Source organism: Homo sapiens, chromosome 17 (genome assembly GCF_000001405.40).
Source record: "Homo sapiens chromosome 17, GRCh38.p14 Primary Assembly".
Taxonomy (NCBI): domain Eukaryota; kingdom Metazoa; phylum Chordata; class Mammalia; order Primates; family Hominidae; genus Homo; species Homo sapiens.
The window spans coordinates 79,742,220-79,761,178 of record NC_000017.11 but is presented as its reverse complement, the minus strand read 5'-3'; the positions used below and the strand labels follow the sequence as shown (position 1 = coordinate 79,761,178).

Sequence of the window (18,959 nt, the reverse complement as noted above, 5' to 3'; positions counted from 1 at the left end):
ATGTTGCCCAGGCCTGTCTTGAACCTCTGGCCTAGAGCCATTCTCCCACCTGGGCCTCCCAAGTGGTTGGGATTATAGGCGTGAGCCACTGCGCCTGGCCAATGACCACGTAATTTTTCTACCACACTGTCACCCCTCTCCTGTCCTGTCTGTCCCTCTGGTGTCCAGGTTTCTGTAGAGCCTGGGGGCTCTGTCTGGGTTGGCCATGGATGTTTGGAGAGTGAGAATGGAGAGAGGAGCTCTCGGCTTTCTCAGCTGCCTTGGGTGGGGACAAGCCTGCCCACATCTCGGCTTCCCCTTCTTTGAAAAGGAGGAGATGCTCCTGGCCTGGCCCTCCAAGGGTTATGTCGGCGGGCTGGCCTCCAGCTGAAACGTGCGACTGGATAACAAAGTGCCAGGTGGTCCTCACCTTTCTGGTGCTTGTTCTCAAGTCCGGAGACACTGGTGGTTTCACTTAAGGAAGAAAAACCACCACCTCTGGACAGCAGCAGGGGCCCAGGAGCGCCCTGGGAATAGAGTGGGGCCGGCCTGGCGGAGGTTACCTGCTGGAGTGAGTGTCTCTTCTGCTTTCCTGTTTCTCCCTGGATCAAAGCAGCGGAGCCACGACCATCTGACCAACAAGACCCAAAGTCCACCCGAACAAAGGTGCATGCCAGCACTTTACCCACCACATCCAGGCCACGTGGGTTATCCACACTGCTGCCTGGGGGGCTGAGGTGTCCGCCCCGGAGCACAGCTGTGGGTGCCCTGTTGTCTCCAGCCCCTTGGGCACTGACTTGGCAGCTATGAGGTCAACAGCTGGAAAGACGGTTGCGTTTTGTGCTGACACAGCTGGGTCTCTTCAAGGCTTGCCTGAACTTGCCCTCTGCCCTCGGTCGCCCCACTGTAGTCGTGGCAGGAAACCTCCCCTGACTACTGGAAGCTGCCCAGGGCTCCCCAGAGCCCCTTTCTCCCGTCTTTGTCAATGCAAAGCTGTGTGAACCCAGACGCAGTTACAGCCAGGACAAGGCCTGCTCCTGGACAAGGCCTTCAGCCAGGCAAGCAGGAGTTCCTTTTGAGCTCACCATTTCTCAAGTGCAAGCATTTAGAAATGTCTTCAGCCCTGACTGGGTGTGGTGGCTCATGCCTGTAATCCCAGCACTTTGGGAGGCTGAGGTGGGTGGATCACCTAAGGTCAGGAGTTCAAGACCAACCTGGCCAACATGGTGAAACCCCGTCTCTACTAAAAATACAAAAATTAGCTGGACGTGGTGGCACGCACCTGTAATCCCAGCTACTCGGGAGGCTGAGTCAGGAGAATCGCTTGAACCCTGGAGGCGGAGGTTGCAGCGAGCTGAGATTACGTCATTGTACCCCAGCCTGGGCAACAAGAGCGAGACTCCATCTTAAAAAAAAAAAAAGAAAGAAAGAAATGTCTCCAGCCCTGAAGCTGGTGGCCAAGTGCCAGGAAGGGGGTGGTGAGACTGAGAGGTATGGGCTGGGGAGGGGTGTGGAGTCCTCCTCAGGCCCAAGTGAGAAGGACCAGTTTGCCTGGGGGGAGGAGATTCACCATTCCCGGATCTGGTCTTGTGTCTTCCTTCTATACTGTGTTTTCCATGTGTATAAAAGTAATATATGCTCTTGGTAAAATATTCATATTTTATGTTTTAAACATTTATGTATATTTAAATATATTTTATATATTGTTTTCTCTCTAAGATATACAGTGTCATGATAAAAATATATTTATAGCCTGTCTTTTTAATTTTTAAAAATATATTGTGTTTTCCCTATATATAAATGTAACATATGCTCATGGTTAAAAAAAGTTTACAAAATTGAGATATAACTTACATATAGTAAAGAGTACAGCTCTTAAAGAAATAGCTCAATATATCTTTTCCTTCCTTCCTTCCTTCCTTCCTTGCCTCCCTCCCTCCCTCCCTCCCTCACTCCTTCCCTCTTTCCCTCTCTCCCTCTCTCCCTCTCTCCCTCTCTCTTTCTTTGTCAGAGTTTTGCTCTGTTGCCCAGGCTGGATTGCAGTGGTGCAGTCATACCTCACTGCAACCTCTACCTCCCAGGTTCAAGCGATTCTCTGACCTCAGCCTCCTGTGTAGCTGGAACTACAGGCATGCGCCACCACATCTAATTTTTCCTTTTTCATTTTTGTAGAGATGGGCTTCACTTTGTTGCCCAGGCTGGTCTCCAACTCCTGGCCTCTGGCGATCCTCCTGCCTCAGCCTCCCAAAGTGCTGGGATGACAGGCATGAGCCCTCACACCTGCCCTAACATTTTGATGGATGAAGCCAAATTGCCCTTCCAGAAGCTTCTGCTTGTGCCCAGGCACATTGACATGAGGTGAGAGGCCTGTTATTTCCATTTCTTATCAGCAGTAGCTTTTATCAAGCTTTAAAAGATGCCACAAGATGAAAACTACAACTCCATTTGATTTATTTTCTTTCATTACGATTGAGGCTGACATCTTGGCTATTTGCATACTTCTTTTGAGAATTGTCTGAATATATTATCCAAATCATTTATCCATTGTATTAGGTTACTCATCTTTTTCTGTTGTATTTGTAAGCATTCGTTGTATATTAAAGGCGCTAAGACCAGGTATTTGGAAGGCTTGAGAAGGAAATAATTTTTTTTGTGTTTTGAGACAGCGTTTCACTCTGTTGCCCAGGCTGGAGTGCAGTGGCATGATCACGGCTCACTGCAGCTTCCCACTTCCAGGTTTAAGCGATCCTCCCACTTGTAGTTTGAGTCTCTGGGACTGCAGATGTGTGCCACCACACATGGCTAATTTTTGTATTTTTTGTAGAGACGGAGTCTTGCTATGTTGCCTAGGCTGATCTCAAACTCTTGGGCTCAAACAATTCACCTGCCTTGGCCTCCCAAAGTGTTGGAATTGCAAGTGTGAGCCACTGCGCCCGGCTGGAAATCTTTTTTTTTTTTTTTGAGATGTAGTCTCCCGCTGCCACCAAGGCTGGAATGCAGTGGCTTGATCTTGGCTCATTGCCACCTCTGCCTCCTGGGCTCAAGTGTTCCTCCCACCTCAGCCTCCCCAGTAGCTGAGACTACAGGTGGGTGCCACCGCACCTGGCTGATTTTTGTATTTTTTTTTTTAGTAGAGACAGGGTTTCACTATGTTGGCCAGGCTGGTCTCGAACTCCTGACCTCAAGTGATCTGCCTGCCTCAGCCTCCCAAAATGCTGGGATTACAGGCATGAGCCACCTTGCCCAGCCTGGAAATCATTTTATACCTACAGCAAAACGTCGGTGATTCTACTGTCCATGTGAAAACTCAACTATCAACCAAGCTGTTCTTTTGCTCCAATATCTCAATCATGCAATCACCAACTTAGATGTTCCAATTTAGTTTTAGTAAATGCTTTAGAAAAAAGTAAACCTGGAATGGGAAGGCACCATCATTTCTCTGCCTTGTGCCTGTAACCTCCTTCACTATTTACCACCCCTCTTTAGGGCCTCGAATCCTGCCTGAGCTCCATGAAGGCTGCAGTGACTTGAGTTGGCGTGAGTGGAAACCTCTGCCTCCACAGTGAAATGTCACTGACTACTGGAAATTAGGCGAATGCATTAGTGCACAGCAGAGGTGGCACGGGGAGCGGTCAATGTGTGTCAGTCTCCCCTGGCGGACGGTGGCGAGCTGAGATGAGGTTGTGTCTGCCTTTGGGAGGTGGGGGAGAGCTTGGCCGATGAAGAGGGGTGGGGGTGGCGTGGTACGGGAGCTTGGTTGAGTAGAAGGAATGGGTGAGGGGGAGGTGGACCAGGAGGATTCCTGATACAATATAAAGACCCAGCTACTGGAGCAGGGGCGCATTTGCTGACCGTGCTAATGTTGGTTCCTACCCATGTTTGTTGACCCCAAAGTTTACTTGGTGACAATATCGAGGCCAGCTGAGGACTAAAGAGAAAGGTGGTTGGTGACGGGGCTCCCAGGATGGGGCCTGGGGGATGATGGGGAACAGCTTCTATCCTTCCCTTCTCCAATGTGTTTGATGTCCTTATTCTAGGCTGGGCTGGCCTGATATTGGGCATCAGTGGCAGCTCTTTGAGCACTTTGCGTTTGGGGCTGAGGCTCTCGAGAACATTTTCTTGGGAACTTTTACTGTTCTTTCTCCTGCATGGAGAGGCTTTCCCCATCTGCTTCCAGGTGGCTTTGCAATTGAAACTCAACAACGCTGAAGCCCTTCTTCCACACAACCATGCTGCGGCCTCTCCGTTGCCTTTCCACATCCCTCCAATTAAGCCTTTGGCTTCATTTATGCCTCAACATCCTCCTTCTAGTTCCACTGTGAAATGTTATGAGATAATCCAAGGGAAATATTTTCACTTCGAGATCACCACAGGTTGCACCCTGAATCTCTGGGTTTGGTGTGGCTGAGCAGATGGGATGAAGTGCCCTGGGCACACCTAGCCTGTTCACCCCTTGGCGAACATGGTGAAACCCCCATCTCTACTAAAAATACAAAAATTAGCTGGGCGTGGTGGCACGCGCCTGTAGTCCCAGCTACTCAGGAGGCTGAGGCAGGAGAATCGCTTGAACCCGGGAGGCGGAGGTTGCAGTGAACCGAGATGGTGTCACTGCACTCCAGCCTGGGCAACGAGAGCAAAACTGTCTCAAAAAAAACAAAAACAAAAACAGGGTCATCGGGCCACCCTGGGCTGGTCGACACATGAGGATAGGCGGCTTCCTCACCAGCCTCTCATTCCTGCCACAGATCCCAGCACTCTCTAGGGTCACTCAGCACTGAGACCAGAGGTTGACCACTGTTTGTAACTGTGTTTATGCTGTTGCTTTTCTTATAGTTAAGAAGAAAGCAAACTATTTCCACTACCTGTGTCTCTATCAAAAGTGAAAAATAAAAGCAGGTGGAGGGTCTCTGGGTTTCAGGGAAAGGGCTTTCCTTCATACCGAGCAGCACACAGGAAGGCGTGGGCCAAAATCACTGGTGTCCCGGCTGGGCGCGGTGGCTCACGCTTGTCATCCCAGCACTTTGGGAGGCCGAGATGGATGAATCACCTGAGGTCAGGAGTTTGAGACCAGCCTGGCCAACATGGTGAAACCCCATCTCTACTAAAAATACAAAAATTAGTCAGGCGTGGTGGCGGGCACCTGTAACACCAGCTACTCAGGAGGCTGAGGCAGAAGAATCGCTTGAACCCGGGAGGTGGAGGTTGCAGTGAGCCGAGATGGCGCCACTGCACTCCAGCCTGCACCACAAGCGTGAAACTCTGTCTCAAAAAAACAAAAACAAAAACATGAAACAAAATCACTGGCGTCCACAGCAGCTGGGAGAGGCAAGGACGGGACCTCTGCAGAGCCTGCAGAGTGAGCACGGCCTCTCTGGATTGGACTTCTGGCCTCCACACCTGCGAGGGAACACACCTGGGTGGCTCAACGCCCTCAGTCTGTGGTGCTTTCTCAGAGCAGCCGCAGGAAACCAATCCAGCGGGTCGCCTGATCATCAACATGGACGAGAGGGAAGCAAGGACCTGTCGCCTCAGGACACTGTCAACACTTAACTGTGGTTTGAATGTTTGTGTCCCTCCAAAATTCACGTTGAAACTTAATCCCCAGTGCAACAGTACTGAGGAGTGAGAAGGCCGTAATGGCTCTGCCCTCCGGGGAGGGATTAGAGCCTCATATATTATATTATTTTATTTTGAGATGAGATTTGTATTATTTATTTATTTATTTTTTTGAGACAGAGTCTCACTCTTGTCGCCCAGGCTGGAGTGCAGTGGCGTGATCTTGGCTCACAGCAACCTCCACCTGCTGGGTTCAAGCAATTCTCCTGCCTCAGCCTCTCAAGTAGCTGGGATTACAGGTCCTGCCACCACGCCCGGCTAACTTTTTTGTACTTTTAGTAGAGACGGGGGTTTCACCATGTTGTCCAGACTGGTCTCGAACTCTTGACCTCGAGTGATCCACCCACCTTGGCCTCCCAAAGTGCTGGGAGGCGTGAGCCACCACGCGTGGCCTTGAGATGGGATTTTGCTGTGTTGCCCAAGCTGGTGTTCAATGGCACAATCTTGGCTCACTGCAACCTCCACCTCCTGGGTTCAAGTGATCCTCCCTCCTCAGCCTCCCGAGTAGCTGGGACCACAGGTGTACACCACCACACCTGGTTAATTTTTAAATTTTTTGTAGAGACAGGTTTTAGCCATGTTGCCCAGGCTGGTGTTGAGTTCCTGAGTTCAAGTGATCTGTCTGCCTCAGCCTCCCAAAGTGCTGGGATTACGGGCATAAGCCCCCGTGCCTGGCAGGATTAGAGCCTTATTATAAAAGGGCTTCCCTTCCTCCATGTGAGGACACAGCATTTTACCCCTCTGGAGGATGTGGCAACGAGGTGCCATCTGGGAAGCGGAGATCCTTGACCTTGGACTTCCCAGCTTCAGAACTGTGAGAAATAAATCTCTATTACTTATAAATCACGCAGTCTGCGGTGTTTTGTGACAGCAGCAGGAACAGATGAAAACAACACAAAATACGTAACGCTTTTGTCTTGTGTTCACAATTGCCTTTGGGTCACTGTAGCAGGACGGGGCCCCACTCAGCCTACGGAATAGCAGAGGGCCTTGCCCACTCTACAGTGCAAATACCACGTGGAGCTCCTCAGCTGAACAAAGAGAAAACTCGGCACAGAGGGAGTGAATGATTTGCCCCAGGTCTCGTGTATGATCAATGGCAAAGCTGGACGTGAAAACCAATAACGAAAAAGAAAGAGTAAGCCCTGGGTGATGATGATTAATGGGTCTCATTCTGGGTGGGCGGTGGCAGGGCCCCAGCCTCAAGTATTGCCTTCAAAAACAATCATTAGATCCAAATAGCATCTGATTGTTGTTGGAACTTTTGGTTCTTTAGAAAGGATGAACATCTTTTCCTATGCTTTACTGGCCATTTGAATTTCTTTGCAGAATTGACTGTCTCAGTTTCATATGAGAGGAGCAAACCTCTTTTGAAAACGATATAAATGGAAAACATTAATTCTTTTTCTATTCATTATTATTTTTTGAGACAGGCTGGAGTGCAGTGGTGCCATCATGGCTCACAGCAGCCTTGAACTCCCAGGCTCAAGCAATTCTCCCACCTCAGCTTCCCAAGTAGCTGGGACCACAGGTGCGCACCATCACGCCTGGCTAATTAAAAAAATTTTTTTGTAGAGATGTGGTTTCTCTACATTGTCTAGGCTGGTCTTGAACTCCTGGACTCAAGTGACCCTCCCTACTTGGCCTCCCAAAGTGCTGGGATTACAGGTGTGAGCCACTGCACTCCGCCAAAACCATTTCCATTAATTCTTTTTTTTTTTTTTTTTTTGAGAGAAAGTCTCCCTCTGTCACCCAGGCTGGAGTGCAGTGGCACCATCTCACCTGACTGCAACCTCCACCTTCCAGGTTCAAACGTTTCTCGTGCCTCAGTGTCCCGAGTAGCTGGAATTACAGCCACCCGCCACTATGCCTGGCTACTTTTTTTGTATTTTTAGTTGAGATGGGGTTTTGTCATGTTGGTCAGGTTGGTCTCAAACTCCTGGACTCAAGCGATCCTCCCCCCTCAGCCTCCCAAAGGTCTAGGATTATAGGTGTGAGCCACTGCGCCCAGCCAAAACCATTCATTCTTTATCAAAGTCCGAAGAACAACCATGTTAAGAACCAAATGAACAAGAGGCAACCTTGTGACAGCTGCAGCATTTTGGGGGTGAGCTCTCCTGTGGGCATGTGCAGCTTGAAAGACATGACCCATCCTGGACAGACACACCCGGGGCTAAACAGTTACAAATTTCAGGGAGCCGCCCCTAAGCTGTGTGTGTAGCTAACGTTTTCTTTTCTTTTTCTTTTTCTTTCTTTCTTTTTTTTTTTTTTTTTTTGAGGCAGACTCTTGCTCGATTGCCCAGGCTGGAGTGCGGTGGCGTGATCTCGGCTCACTGAAAGCTCCGCCTCCCGGGTTCAAGCAATTCTCCCACCTCAGCCTCCTGAGTAGCTGGGACTACAGGCGCCTGCCACCACGCCCGGCTAATTTCTGTATTTTTAGTAGAGACAGGGTTTCACCGTATTGGTCAGGCTGGTCTCGAACTCCTGACCTCAGATGATGCACCCACCTCGGCCTCTCAAAGTGCTGGGATTACAGGTGTGAGCCACCGCACCCGGCCTGGTAACATTTTCATTTACAACACTGGACTCGCAGAGGGGTTTCTCCGCAGGTTGGTTTGTTGAAAAGGTTGGTTCTTGCCTTTTGCTCTCCAGAATGTGTTTCTCCCGAGAGCTGGTGATTAAAAAACCCACTTCCGGCCGGGCGCGGTGGCTCACGCCTGTAATCCCAGCACTTTGGGAGGCCGAGGCGGGCGGATCACGAGGTCAGGAGATCGAGACCACGGTGAAACCCCGTCTCTACTAAAAATACAAAAAAATCAGCCGGGCGTGGTGGTGGGCGCCTGTAGTCCCAGCTTCTGGGGAGGCTGAGGCAGGAGAATGGCGTGAACCCGGGAGGCGGAGCTTGCAGTGAGCTGAGATAGTGCCACTGCAGTCTAGCCTGGGCGACAGAGCGAGACTCCATCTCAAAAAAAAAAAAAAAACCACCCACTTCCCTGATTAATTCCAGAATTGGAAATACATTCAACCTGTGTATTTTATTAAAAGGGACAGCTGGGGAGGTGTTTGTTAAGGTGTGCTCTGCTTCCCACACCAAAAGCAATCTGATGACGTTTGAATCGGATGACGGAGAGTCATTTTCCATGTCGAGTCACCAGTGTCGATTCACAAAGTTTGGTTGACGGCCCACAGCTGGGGCCCAGAAAAACCCGAAGGGGAAGTTTGCTGGGGCTCTCTGCGGTGCCCTTGGCCACCTTCTCCGTGCTTCTCCGACCAAGGAGTCCGGGCTCCTGCCGGGCTCTGGTGGGAGCTGATGGATCTCAGGTGAGGACAAGTCAGGCTCGCTTCACCCAGCCCTTCCCTCTGAGTCTCCCAACAGAAGCTTTTATTAACCACCCCAAAGATGGGACAGCTCTGTGGAAGCCACTGGGCAAACCCTGTCTGAAACATGGTCATTATCTGCCTTCCACTATTTTTTTTTTTTTTAAGATGTGGCCCCAGAATCTGTTTTCTTTTAGTTGTGGTAAGACACACATAACAGGGCCAGGCACAGTAGCTCATGCCTGTAATCCCAGCACTTTGAGAGGCTGAGACTGGCAGATCACCTGAGGTCAGGAGTTTGAGACCAGACTAGCCAACATGGTGAAACCCCGTCTCTACTAAAAATACAAAGGTTAGCTGGGCGTGGTGGTGTGAGCCTGTAATCCCAACTACTAGGGAGGCTGAGGCAGGAGAATCACTTGAACCCAGGAGGTGAAGGTTGCAGTGAGCTGAGATTGCGCCACTGCACTGCAGCCTGGGAGACAGAGGGAGGCTCTGTCTCAAAAAAAAAAAATGCACATAACATTTACTATTTTAGCCATTTAACAGTGGCACTTAGTCCATTTACAATGTTATACAGCCATCACCACCATCTAGCTCCAAAGCGTCTTTATTATACCAAAAAGAAATCCATTAGGCAGTCACTTCCCACCCTCCTCCCCCAGCCCCTGGCCACCTCCCATCTCCTTTTTGTCTATGGAGTTACCTATTCTGGATATTTCCTATAAGTGGAATCGTGTAATATGTGGCCTTTTATGTCTGAATTCTTTCACTGAGCATGTTTTTCACGGTCCATTCATATTAAAGTATGTATCAGTACTTCATTCCTTTTTTTTTTTGAGACAGCGTGTCGCTCTGTCACCCAGGTTGGAGTGCAGTGGTGCAATCATAGTTTACTGCAGCCTTGACCTCCGGGGCTCAAGAGATCCTCCCACCTCAGCCTCCCAAGTAGCTGGAACTATAGTTGTGCACAACCACACCTGGCTAATTGTTTTTTCTGCTTGTAGAAACGGGGTCTTGCTATGTTTCCCAGGTTGGTCTTGAACTCCTGGGCTCAATCAATCTTCCCACCTGTGCCTTTCAAAGTGCTGGGATTACAGGCATAAGCCACCATGCCCGGCTAAGTACTTTGTTCCTTTTCATGGCCAAATAGTATTCCATTATATAGATAGACCACATTTTGTTTGTCCATTCATCTTTGATGGACATTTGTTTTGTTTCTACCTTTTGGTGAGTGTGAATGATGCTGCTTGTTACATCTGTGTGCAAGTTTTTGTTTGAACACCTGCTGTCAAGTATTTTGGGTGTATACCCATGAGTGTAATTGCTGAGTCATATGTTTACACAGGAAATTTTAAATTTAAATTATGACTCAAATATTGATATTTCCAGATATGGTTTAATTCTAAAAGAGTTTACTTGATGAGCATTTTAAAAGACATTGGTTACTATTTTTAAAAGTTTGAGACTGGGCGCGGTTACTGTTTTTAAAAGTTTGAGACTGGGCGCGGTGGCTCACTCATGCCTGTCATCCCAGCACTTTGGGAGGCCGAGGTGGGTGGATCATCTGAGGTCAGGAGTTCAAGACCAGCCTGATAGTGAAACCCCGTCTCTACTAAAAATACAAAAATTAGCCAGGCATGATGGTGTGTGCCTGTAGTTCCAGCTACTCAGGAGGCTGAGGCAGGAGAATCGCTTGAACCTGGGAGGTGGAAGTTGCAGTGAGCCAAGATCATGCCACTGCACTCCGGCCTGGGCAACAAGAGCGAAACTCCATCTCAAAAAAAAAAAGTTTGAATAAATTATTCAAATAATTTCAATAATTCAATAAATTATTCCATGTGTAACTTACTGAGGAATTGTCAGAATTCGCATGGAAGCTGCATCGTCTTACACTCCAGCCTGCCATCTCTGAGGGCTGCAACATTTCTACCTCCTTACCAACACTTGTTATTTTCTTTTTTTTAAAAAAAATAAAAAGTTCTAGCCATCCTAGGGGGTGTGCTGTGGCATTAATTTACTTTTCTCTAACGATGGGTGGTGGGGGTGTCATCTTTCCTGGGCTGTTGGGCGTTTGCACCGCCTCCCTTGCTTGTTATCAGCTGTGGACAGTGGACAGGTCACTCTCCTCCCCTAAACCTCAGTTTCTTCTTCTGTCCAAAAAGGAACTGGCCTAGGGTCATGGCCTCCAAGTGTCTTCACCCACATGGCCTGGAAAATAATTTAAAAAAATAATAGCCCTTGACACCTTTTAAGATTGACAGCTACCATTTTTCCACCATGAAGTTTACATGGTTGCAAAGTATGTGATTTCCAGTGTACTGTAAATTTTGGCATTTAAAAAAATAAAACTGCTGTTCTCTCTATAGAAGCCAAAGCTGACATTTTATCCTGCTTCCAATATCATTGAAGAAGTCACAGTTCTTCAGTTGAAACCAAAAATCACAGAGTCCCCAAATTATAAAACCTTAACTACTTCCTGTGGACCTGGACTCTACAATAACAAGAATTTTAGCTGTGACTTTTGCTTTTCCAAGCCGGTGTCCTAGCTTTTAGGATTAGCATAATCACGTGAGGAAGCTGCCGCTAACCACCAGAGACAGAGGAATGTACATTTACTAACCTTGATTCTCTTGGGAATTTTTTTTCCCTTTAAATACTTGTTGGATTTTTGTATTTGGTGAGTCAGTCCTTCTGAAGTCTGGCTCCTTTGCAAGAAAGCTTTTTTTTTCTAAGTGCAATCTGCCTCCAGTTTTCCTTGGGCAATCCTTTTAAGTGTATCCAATGAAATAGAAATAAGGTAGCAATGTGACCCAATAAAAGGGCAGGTTCTTTTTGATCCTTTTCTTCTTTACCTCTGGGTTCTGTTTCATTTCTTCTCCAAAACCTTATTGTAATAAAAAATATTTTTATGTTTGAAAGTAATTCACTGCTCACCCAAGCATATGTCTGCAACAAGAACAGGCACATCAGTTATTCAAACTTTAAAAAATATTAACCTATGTCTCAAAAATGCTCATCAAAGTAAATTCTTTTAGAATTAGACCAGGTCTAGAAATATCAATATTTGAACCATAATTTAGATTTAAAATATTTTATTTCCTGTGACTCTAAGGCTCTCAGTATTTAAAAAATTTATTCTGGATTGAATATTAAATTGAATTGTTAAATTGATCAAACCAGCATAAATATATTAAAATTGCAGTATATGTTTATTATATACATAAAAGTTAAATTTTTGTTGGACTGCATCTCTTAATGAGATGGGTGGGATTGTATTTTTTCCCAATGGTTCAGATGTCATTGGATAAATATTATTTCTTATCTGGGACAGAGCCCAGAATCAATTCCAAACCTGTTTTTATTTTGATGGGCTTGGACCGTGAGAAAACTCATTTACGTAAATTGATCCGTGGTGATGGACAGTTCTCTTAGGGTTATGTCTCTCCACTGTTTGAACCTCTTCAGACATTGAAGCCAAAAGTCACACAGTGATCTGTCACCAAAACCAAAGCCAAAAACACAGCCTGATTGGGTTCTCCAGGCGCCAGGAGAGACTGGGGCCTTCGGGGATCGCTTTCCCGGCTCCGCGGGTGCGCGAGGGGCCCGGGTCCCTGCCCCGCCCCAGAGGTGCCCCATCCCTCCTCCAACCCCACAGGATGGAAGGGCGATCTCTTCCAGGGCGCGGTCCGGGCTAGGCACGGAGGCATCCCGGGGATGGGGGTCCCGAGGCCCAGTCCCTCCCTCGCCCTTGCGGGACCGCACCGCCGGCGGCCCAGGCGCGGGCACCCCTGACCTGGGCGGGTTGCGCGTTGGCTGCGCCGCGCCCTGGGATGCGGTACTCAGGCGCTCCGGGCGGCGGGGGGCGCGCAAGGCCCGGCGAGGGGCGGAGGGCCCGGGGGACTGCGCTGACCGTTCCTTCGCGGGGTGCGGGGCTGGAGCCCACCGCGCTCCCGGAGGCCGTCGGGCACCCAGGGTGCCCCGCAGGGCCCGGCCGCGGAGAGGGCAAAGACGTGGCAGCCGGCGAGGGGGAGGGGGCGGCACTAGCCTGCTGCGCGTGCGCCGACCCGGGTGCGACCCCCGCCGCCCGCCCTACCCGCTACGGCCCACCCCGAGGGCCTGTTCCCATCGCTTGTTCACCCGCGTCGGGGTCCCGAGTGGGTGTGTGGGGTGCGTGTGTTATGTGGCGTGTACAGGGCTGCAGCGTGTGCAGTGTGGGTGAAGGGTGTTGTTCGGGCGCGTGTGGGGTGTGTGGCTGCTTGTGGCATGAGGTGGTGCACACGGTGCCAGGTGTGTGCAGTGTGTGCGTGTGTGTTGTGTTGTGTGTCTGTGTCTGGGTGGGGGGATGGGGTGGCAAGCGCATGAGTGTGCCTGTGAGTGTGCCGGTGTGCAGCGTGCGTGGATGCCCGTCGCACATGTGCAGTGTGTGTGGCGCGTGTGCGGGATGCCGGTGTCCCGGTCCCGCCTGAGCCCCAGCTCTCGGCTTCTTGGACTGCGGTGGTGGCGGCGGTGGCGCCGGATCCGAGGAGCGCAGCGCCGCGCGTCACCATGGCAACAGATGCTCCTGCAGCCCCCGCGCCGCTGCGGTGGGGAGGGGGCCCTGCGCACCTCAGAAGGCGGGCGTGGGGGAGGGGAGGCTGCTCGTCCCAAAGAAGCCCGCGGAGGAACTGGGCTGCCCCAGCACGCACCCCTGGGAATCCTCCCTCGCCTTGACATCCCTCCTGGTGGGGCGCCGGGGCAGGGGTCGGGACGCGGTGCCCTCCTCGGTCCCTGCTGCTTGCCCGGGGAACCCGGGGACCTCACTCGGGTCCTCTGCCGGCCTGGAGCTGGGGACAGAGTAATTCCTGCTGTTTCTTTCCCCTGAGAGTCCCCCGCGCCAGGTGTTTGCAGCTCCTAGGTCGGAAGCCTCAGGCGTGGTTATTGGCTCTTAGGATCGGCTTGTGGGAGATGAACCCGCCCATACTAAAGATGGGGAGCCCAGGCCTTAAGGAGCCCAGGACGGCATCGCGAACAGACTTGTCGGTTACATGAACCTACAGGTTCTCCTGTTCCGACCCGGGACACAAGAAAAGGCTTATGGTGAACCAAGGAAGTCCCTGCCTTTGACAGAGGCCGGACGTCAGTGCAGAGGAGAGAATCTGGGCCCGTGCTCCCTGCATTCTGGAAAGAAAGGGCTTGTTTGCATAAGCAAGCAGCGCCTCTCTGGGAAGGAGCTGGCCAGGCCCCACTGGGATTGAGCCTGGAGGTGCCTGTGCTCCCCTCCCTCCTCTGCCCAGTTCCTGGCCCAGGGGTGGTGCTGCCTTTTCATCCGTTTAACCTGAGGAGGATGGGCAGGACCAGCTTTCACTCCCTCATGCATTCATTTATCCATAACCTTTATCAGGTGCAGCGATTCTGGAGTGTCTGGCCCAGGCCAGCAGCAGCGGAATCACGCAGGCTCTGGTCAGAAATGCAGAGTCTCAGGCCCACCCTAGACCTTCAGGTTAAGGAGTGTGGGAGTGGATGTGCCTGTGCCCCCCGCGCCCCAGATCTCACAAGGTGATTCTGAGGCTTGCTCAGATTTGGAAATCACTGATCCACGGTGGTCTTTGTGCTAGGGATGGGACTATTGATCCCTTCCCTCAGGGGATCCCTTCCCTCAGGGGATCCCTCCCCACCTCCCCGGAAAAACCTGGCCCTGAGGGTTCCAGTTCTCCTCTCTGAACTACCAGGGCTCACTTGGGGGTCCATCTAAGACTTCAGCAAACAAGTATCCTTGATCACTATCTCAAGGCTGGGTCTGAGCAGGACTGAAGCTTTTTCAGAGAAGAATGAGGAGGAGGAGGAGAGGGAGGAGGTGGAGGAACAGAAGGGAGTTCTCAATTCTCACTGCTTCAAAAGGTGCCTGAGGAAGTGAGGAAGGCTTCCAGGAGTGTTGAGGGGCCCAAGAGCGCCGCCTCCTGGTGACAGTATACAGAGCTGACTCCACTGGGGAGGGGCTGCCTAACCAAGCTGGCTTTCACTTTTCTTTTCTTTTCTTTTCTGTTTTTTTTTTTTTTTTTTTTTTTTTTTTTTTTTTTTTTTTTTTTTTAGACAGAGTTTTGCTCTTGTCACCCAGGCTGGAGTGCAGTGGCGCGATCTTGGCTCACTGCAACCTCCGCCTCCCAGGTTCAAGTGATTCTCCTGCTGTAGCCTCCCGAGTAGCTGGCATTACAGGCACCCACAACCACGCCCAGCTAATGTTTGTATTTTTAGTAGAGATGAGGTTTCATCACGTTGGCCAGGCTGATCTCAAACTCCTGACCTCTGGTGATCCCTCTTTCACCATGTTGGCCAGGCTGGTCTTGAACTCCTGACCTCTGGTGATCCACCTGCTTCGGCCTCCCAAAGTGCTGGGATTGCAGGAGTGAGCCACCATGCCTGTCCCCAAGCCTGCTTTCTGTGTCCCAGTGGTATGACCTGCCTTGCAAGAACCACCCCAGTCAGTACCTGGATGTTTTGTGTGTTACTGCTAGCACCTGGACTGGCTAAATTCAGAGAAAGATCTGGGTTGACAGGTTTGTGTGGATGATGTGTCTGTGTGACTCGTCCCCAGTCAGCTCCAAGTGGCTCCAATATGCAGTGCACGGCTTTGTGTCACCTGTGGTTTTCTTCCGAGTCTGTTTCAGTTGGGCCGATGGTAAAATGAGCTTTGCATAGTCAATTGCAAGGTCGGTGTTGAGCAGTTCTGAACTTGGTCATCTGATAGCCCGGGAAACACCGTGCATTAGGCAGGGAAAACTGGGGGGAATCTTTGGATGCTGTCCATGGGAGGCCAGTGCTACTCTCCAGAAACTTCTTGGGCTGGCCACATGGTTGGTGGGCAGAGGAGGCAGGCCAGAGCCTGATGACCCCCAGCAGGTTTGCCGTTGGCCAACCTCTTGTATATAGTTTGTCATGTCCCCCAGCCACCTTCATTATTACTTAGTCAACATTTCTCTTTGAATCAGCTCATTCTTTGTTACTTAATATGATTTTTTCTTGAGACAGTGTCTTGCTCTGTTGCCCAGGCTGGAGTGCAGTGGTACGATCTCGGCTGACTGCAACCTCTCATGCTCAAGCGATCCTCTCACCTCAGCCTCCTGAGTAGCTGGGACTACAGGCATGCACCACCACACTTGGCTAATTTTAAAACTTTTTGTAGAGACAAGGTCTCATTATATTGCCCAGGCTGGTCTTGAACTCCTGGGCTCAAGCGATCCTCCTGCCTCAGCCTCTCACCGTGCTGGGATTGCAGGCATGTGCCTTTGTGCCCGGCTAATTTAATTTTTTAAAAGACTCTTTTGGCTGGGTGCAGTAGCTTACTGCCTGTAATCCCAGCACTTTGGGAGGCCAAAGTGGGTGGATCACTTGAGGTCAGGATTTGGAGACCAGCGTGAAACCCCATGTCTACTAAAAATACAGATATTAGCTGGGCATGCTGATAATTACAGGTGGCAGGCACCTGTAGTCCTAGCTACTTGGGAGGCTAAGGCAGGAGGATCACCTGAGCCTGGAAAGTGGAGATTGCAGTGAGCTGAGATCACGCCACTGCACTTCAGCCTGAGTGACAGAGTAAGACTGTCTCAAAGAAAAAAAAAAAAAAGACTTTTTTAAGGACCATGAAGAGATCCCTTAAATTAGGCCAGGCATGGTGGCTCATGCCTGTAATCCCAGCACTTTGGGAGGCCGAGGTGGGCGGATCACCTGAGGTCAGGAGTTTGAGACAAGCCTGGCCAACATGCTGAAACTCTGTCTCTACTAAAGATACAAACATTAGCTGGGCATGGTGGCACATGACACGCCTGCAATCCCAGCTACTCGGGAGGCTGAGGCAGGAGAATTGCTTGAACCCAGGAGGCGGAGGTTGCAGTGAGCCAAGATTGCACCATTGCACTCCAGCCTGGGCAACAAGAGTGAAACTGTCTCAAAAAAAAAATCGCTTAAATTAATTTTAAAAAGGAAAAAGAAAAAAAACAGATGTCAATGAAAAATGAGTAGCACTAACCAAAAATTGAAGGTGATTATAAAAACAAACACAAGGCAAATCAAGCTGTGGCAACCGTCCATCCTATGCTGTTGCTTGGCTGCTGGAGCTCTGAGCCTGGTGCCTCTCTTCATGTCACAGAAGACACCTGTTAGGGGTGGGATTATGGACCAGAGACGTTCTGCTAGAGAAGCAAGAAGGCTTGGAGGTGAGTCTATAAGAGTGAATGACTTTCTCACAATTTGATACAAGGTAATTGCTGCCCTGTCTCTTCCTAACACCCAGGTCTTCCATGTAGCAGGCCCTGTTCGCAGCTGTTTGTGAATATTAACTCATGTTATCACTGAGACCACCCTATGAGACAGGTCCTGCCACTGGTCCTGGATTTACAGAGGAGGACAGGCCCAGAGAGGTTAGCAACTTGCCCAGGGCCACAGAGCAGGTGTTGGAGAGGGGGAGCTGGATTTGAACTGGGACTGTGCTGCTCAAGGTGGCACCCCTCACATTTGACACCTAGGGCTGCACAGATAGGAAAATCAGCCCCCCATGCGTGCAGCCAGGCCTCAGCCCCCATGCTCCTGACACCGGAAGCTCCATCAGCGAGTGCTCGGCCAGCCACCAGGACTCTCTTGGTGATGCCTTTGTTACACCAGACATCTGGAGCAATGGAATACTGAATGTGAGACAGACTTGGTTATTTTCCTGTCTCTCTTCTTTCTTTCTCCTCTCTGTTTCTTTTCTTCTTCTGTGGATGAGGCAATTCTCACAGCTCTGGTTGGCCCAGTCCCTGCAACGCTGATGAACAGGGCTGAGCAAATGTGGTGGTGGTGGTGGGGGGCTCAGAGGAAGGCAGGGCTTCTCTTGGAGACTGGGCAGTGGCAGTGCCGGCACTGTGAGCGCTCACCACTCCGAGGACGTGGATGTGGACTCTACCTGGTCTCCTCTGGCCAGGTGGGGCAGGCTGAGGTGGGCTGAGACTGGAATTGGGCCTGTCCAGGGAGGGTCCCCCCCTCCCCTCCCCAGCCCAGCCACAGAGCCAGAGCTTGTGCAGGTGGGTGGCTGGCCTGGGTGTCATGGGGTGTGGCTGCAGGCACTGGCATGGGGACCGGGGCAGTCCTTCCAGGAAGAACAATTGGATTGTGGGGCAGGGGGCCCACAGGCCAGGCCAAAGTCCAGGCTCTTCAGGCTGAGGCAGGACTTCAGCCCCAGGCAGCCAATCAGGCTGCTGCAGAGAGCAGGCTGGAATGGGCCCTGGAGACTCCATGGAGCTGAAGCAGGAGACCCGGGGTGGGGGCTAGGGGCTGCGGGCTTTGGAGGCAGGGAAATAGGCAGATCTGACAAACTCAGACTTCAAAGACTGTGTCTCCTGGTGTCCCAGCTGGTTTACTATGCAGGGTGGCACTGACAAACCCAGCACCTCCCAGGGCAGGATTTTAATCCTCCCAGGGGCTGCCATCCTTGAGCACCTGCTTGGGGCCAGCCTCTGTGCCAGCCTCCCCGCAATGTGTCCACCTTACTCTCAGGTACCCCAGGGAGGCAGGCATGGTCCTCATTATCCCACTTTTTCAGATGAGGAAACTGAGGCTGGGGAGGGTCAACTGCTTTGCCAATGCCACAGCATCTGGGTGGGGGGCCAGGGCTGGAACATGAGTTTATCTGACTCCAAAGCCTATGCTCTTAATGCACAGGAGAATAGGTGTGGAAGGGTCCCTCGGCTCCTGGCCACGGCCACCCCAGTCCTGTGTCAGAGCCAATCCACGCGACTTTCTTTGCGGTGTTTCCGCCTGGTTTAACGTGATTTCTTGCTGAGCACCGTGGCTTATAGATGCTGCTTCCCTATCGTTCACAAAAAGCCTCCTCATGCCTTCCCCCCTTCCTTTTAGGAAACTCACCCCTTTTCCAGGACTGGCCAGCCGTCCAACCAGGGCCCACCCCTAACGAGAATGGAGGGGTCCCTGGGGCTTGTGAAGCCTGGCAAGGAGTTAGAAATTTATCCCACGCTGGGGTCAATGGTGGGACCGTCGGGAAACCGGCAGGCTTTAGGGAAAAGTCTCCCCCGTGC

General features: G+C 50.9%; 1 long non-coding RNA gene across 1 annotated transcript, besides 2 other annotated features; it reads left to right on the top strand.

The window, feature by feature from the left end:
• Positions 578-1,079: an enhancer, noted in NCBI's record as "H3K4me1 hESC enhancer chr17:77733899-77734400 (GRCh37/hg19 assembly coordinates)". NCBI's record gives its function as "activates a minimal SCP1, AML or CMV promoter by ChIP-STARR-seq in primed H9 embryonic stem cells {active_cell/tissue: H9 hESC(primed)}" and the evidence as "EXISTENCE:reporter gene assay evidence [ECO:0000049][PMID:30033119]".
• Positions 2,152-3,835, top strand: LOC124904070 (uncharacterized). Its single transcript, XR_007065927.1, has 2 exons — positions 2,152-2,337; positions 3,466-3,835. It is a non-coding gene; the product is annotated as an uncharacterized LOC124904070 (long non-coding RNA).
• Positions 12,553-13,492: an enhancer, noted in NCBI's record as "H3K27ac-H3K4me1 hESC enhancer chr17:77721486-77722425 (GRCh37/hg19 assembly coordinates)". NCBI's record gives its function as "activates a minimal SCP1, AML or CMV promoter by ChIP-STARR-seq in naive H9 embryonic stem cells {active_cell/tissue: H9 hESC(naive)}" and the evidence as "EXISTENCE:reporter gene assay evidence [ECO:0000049][PMID:30033119]".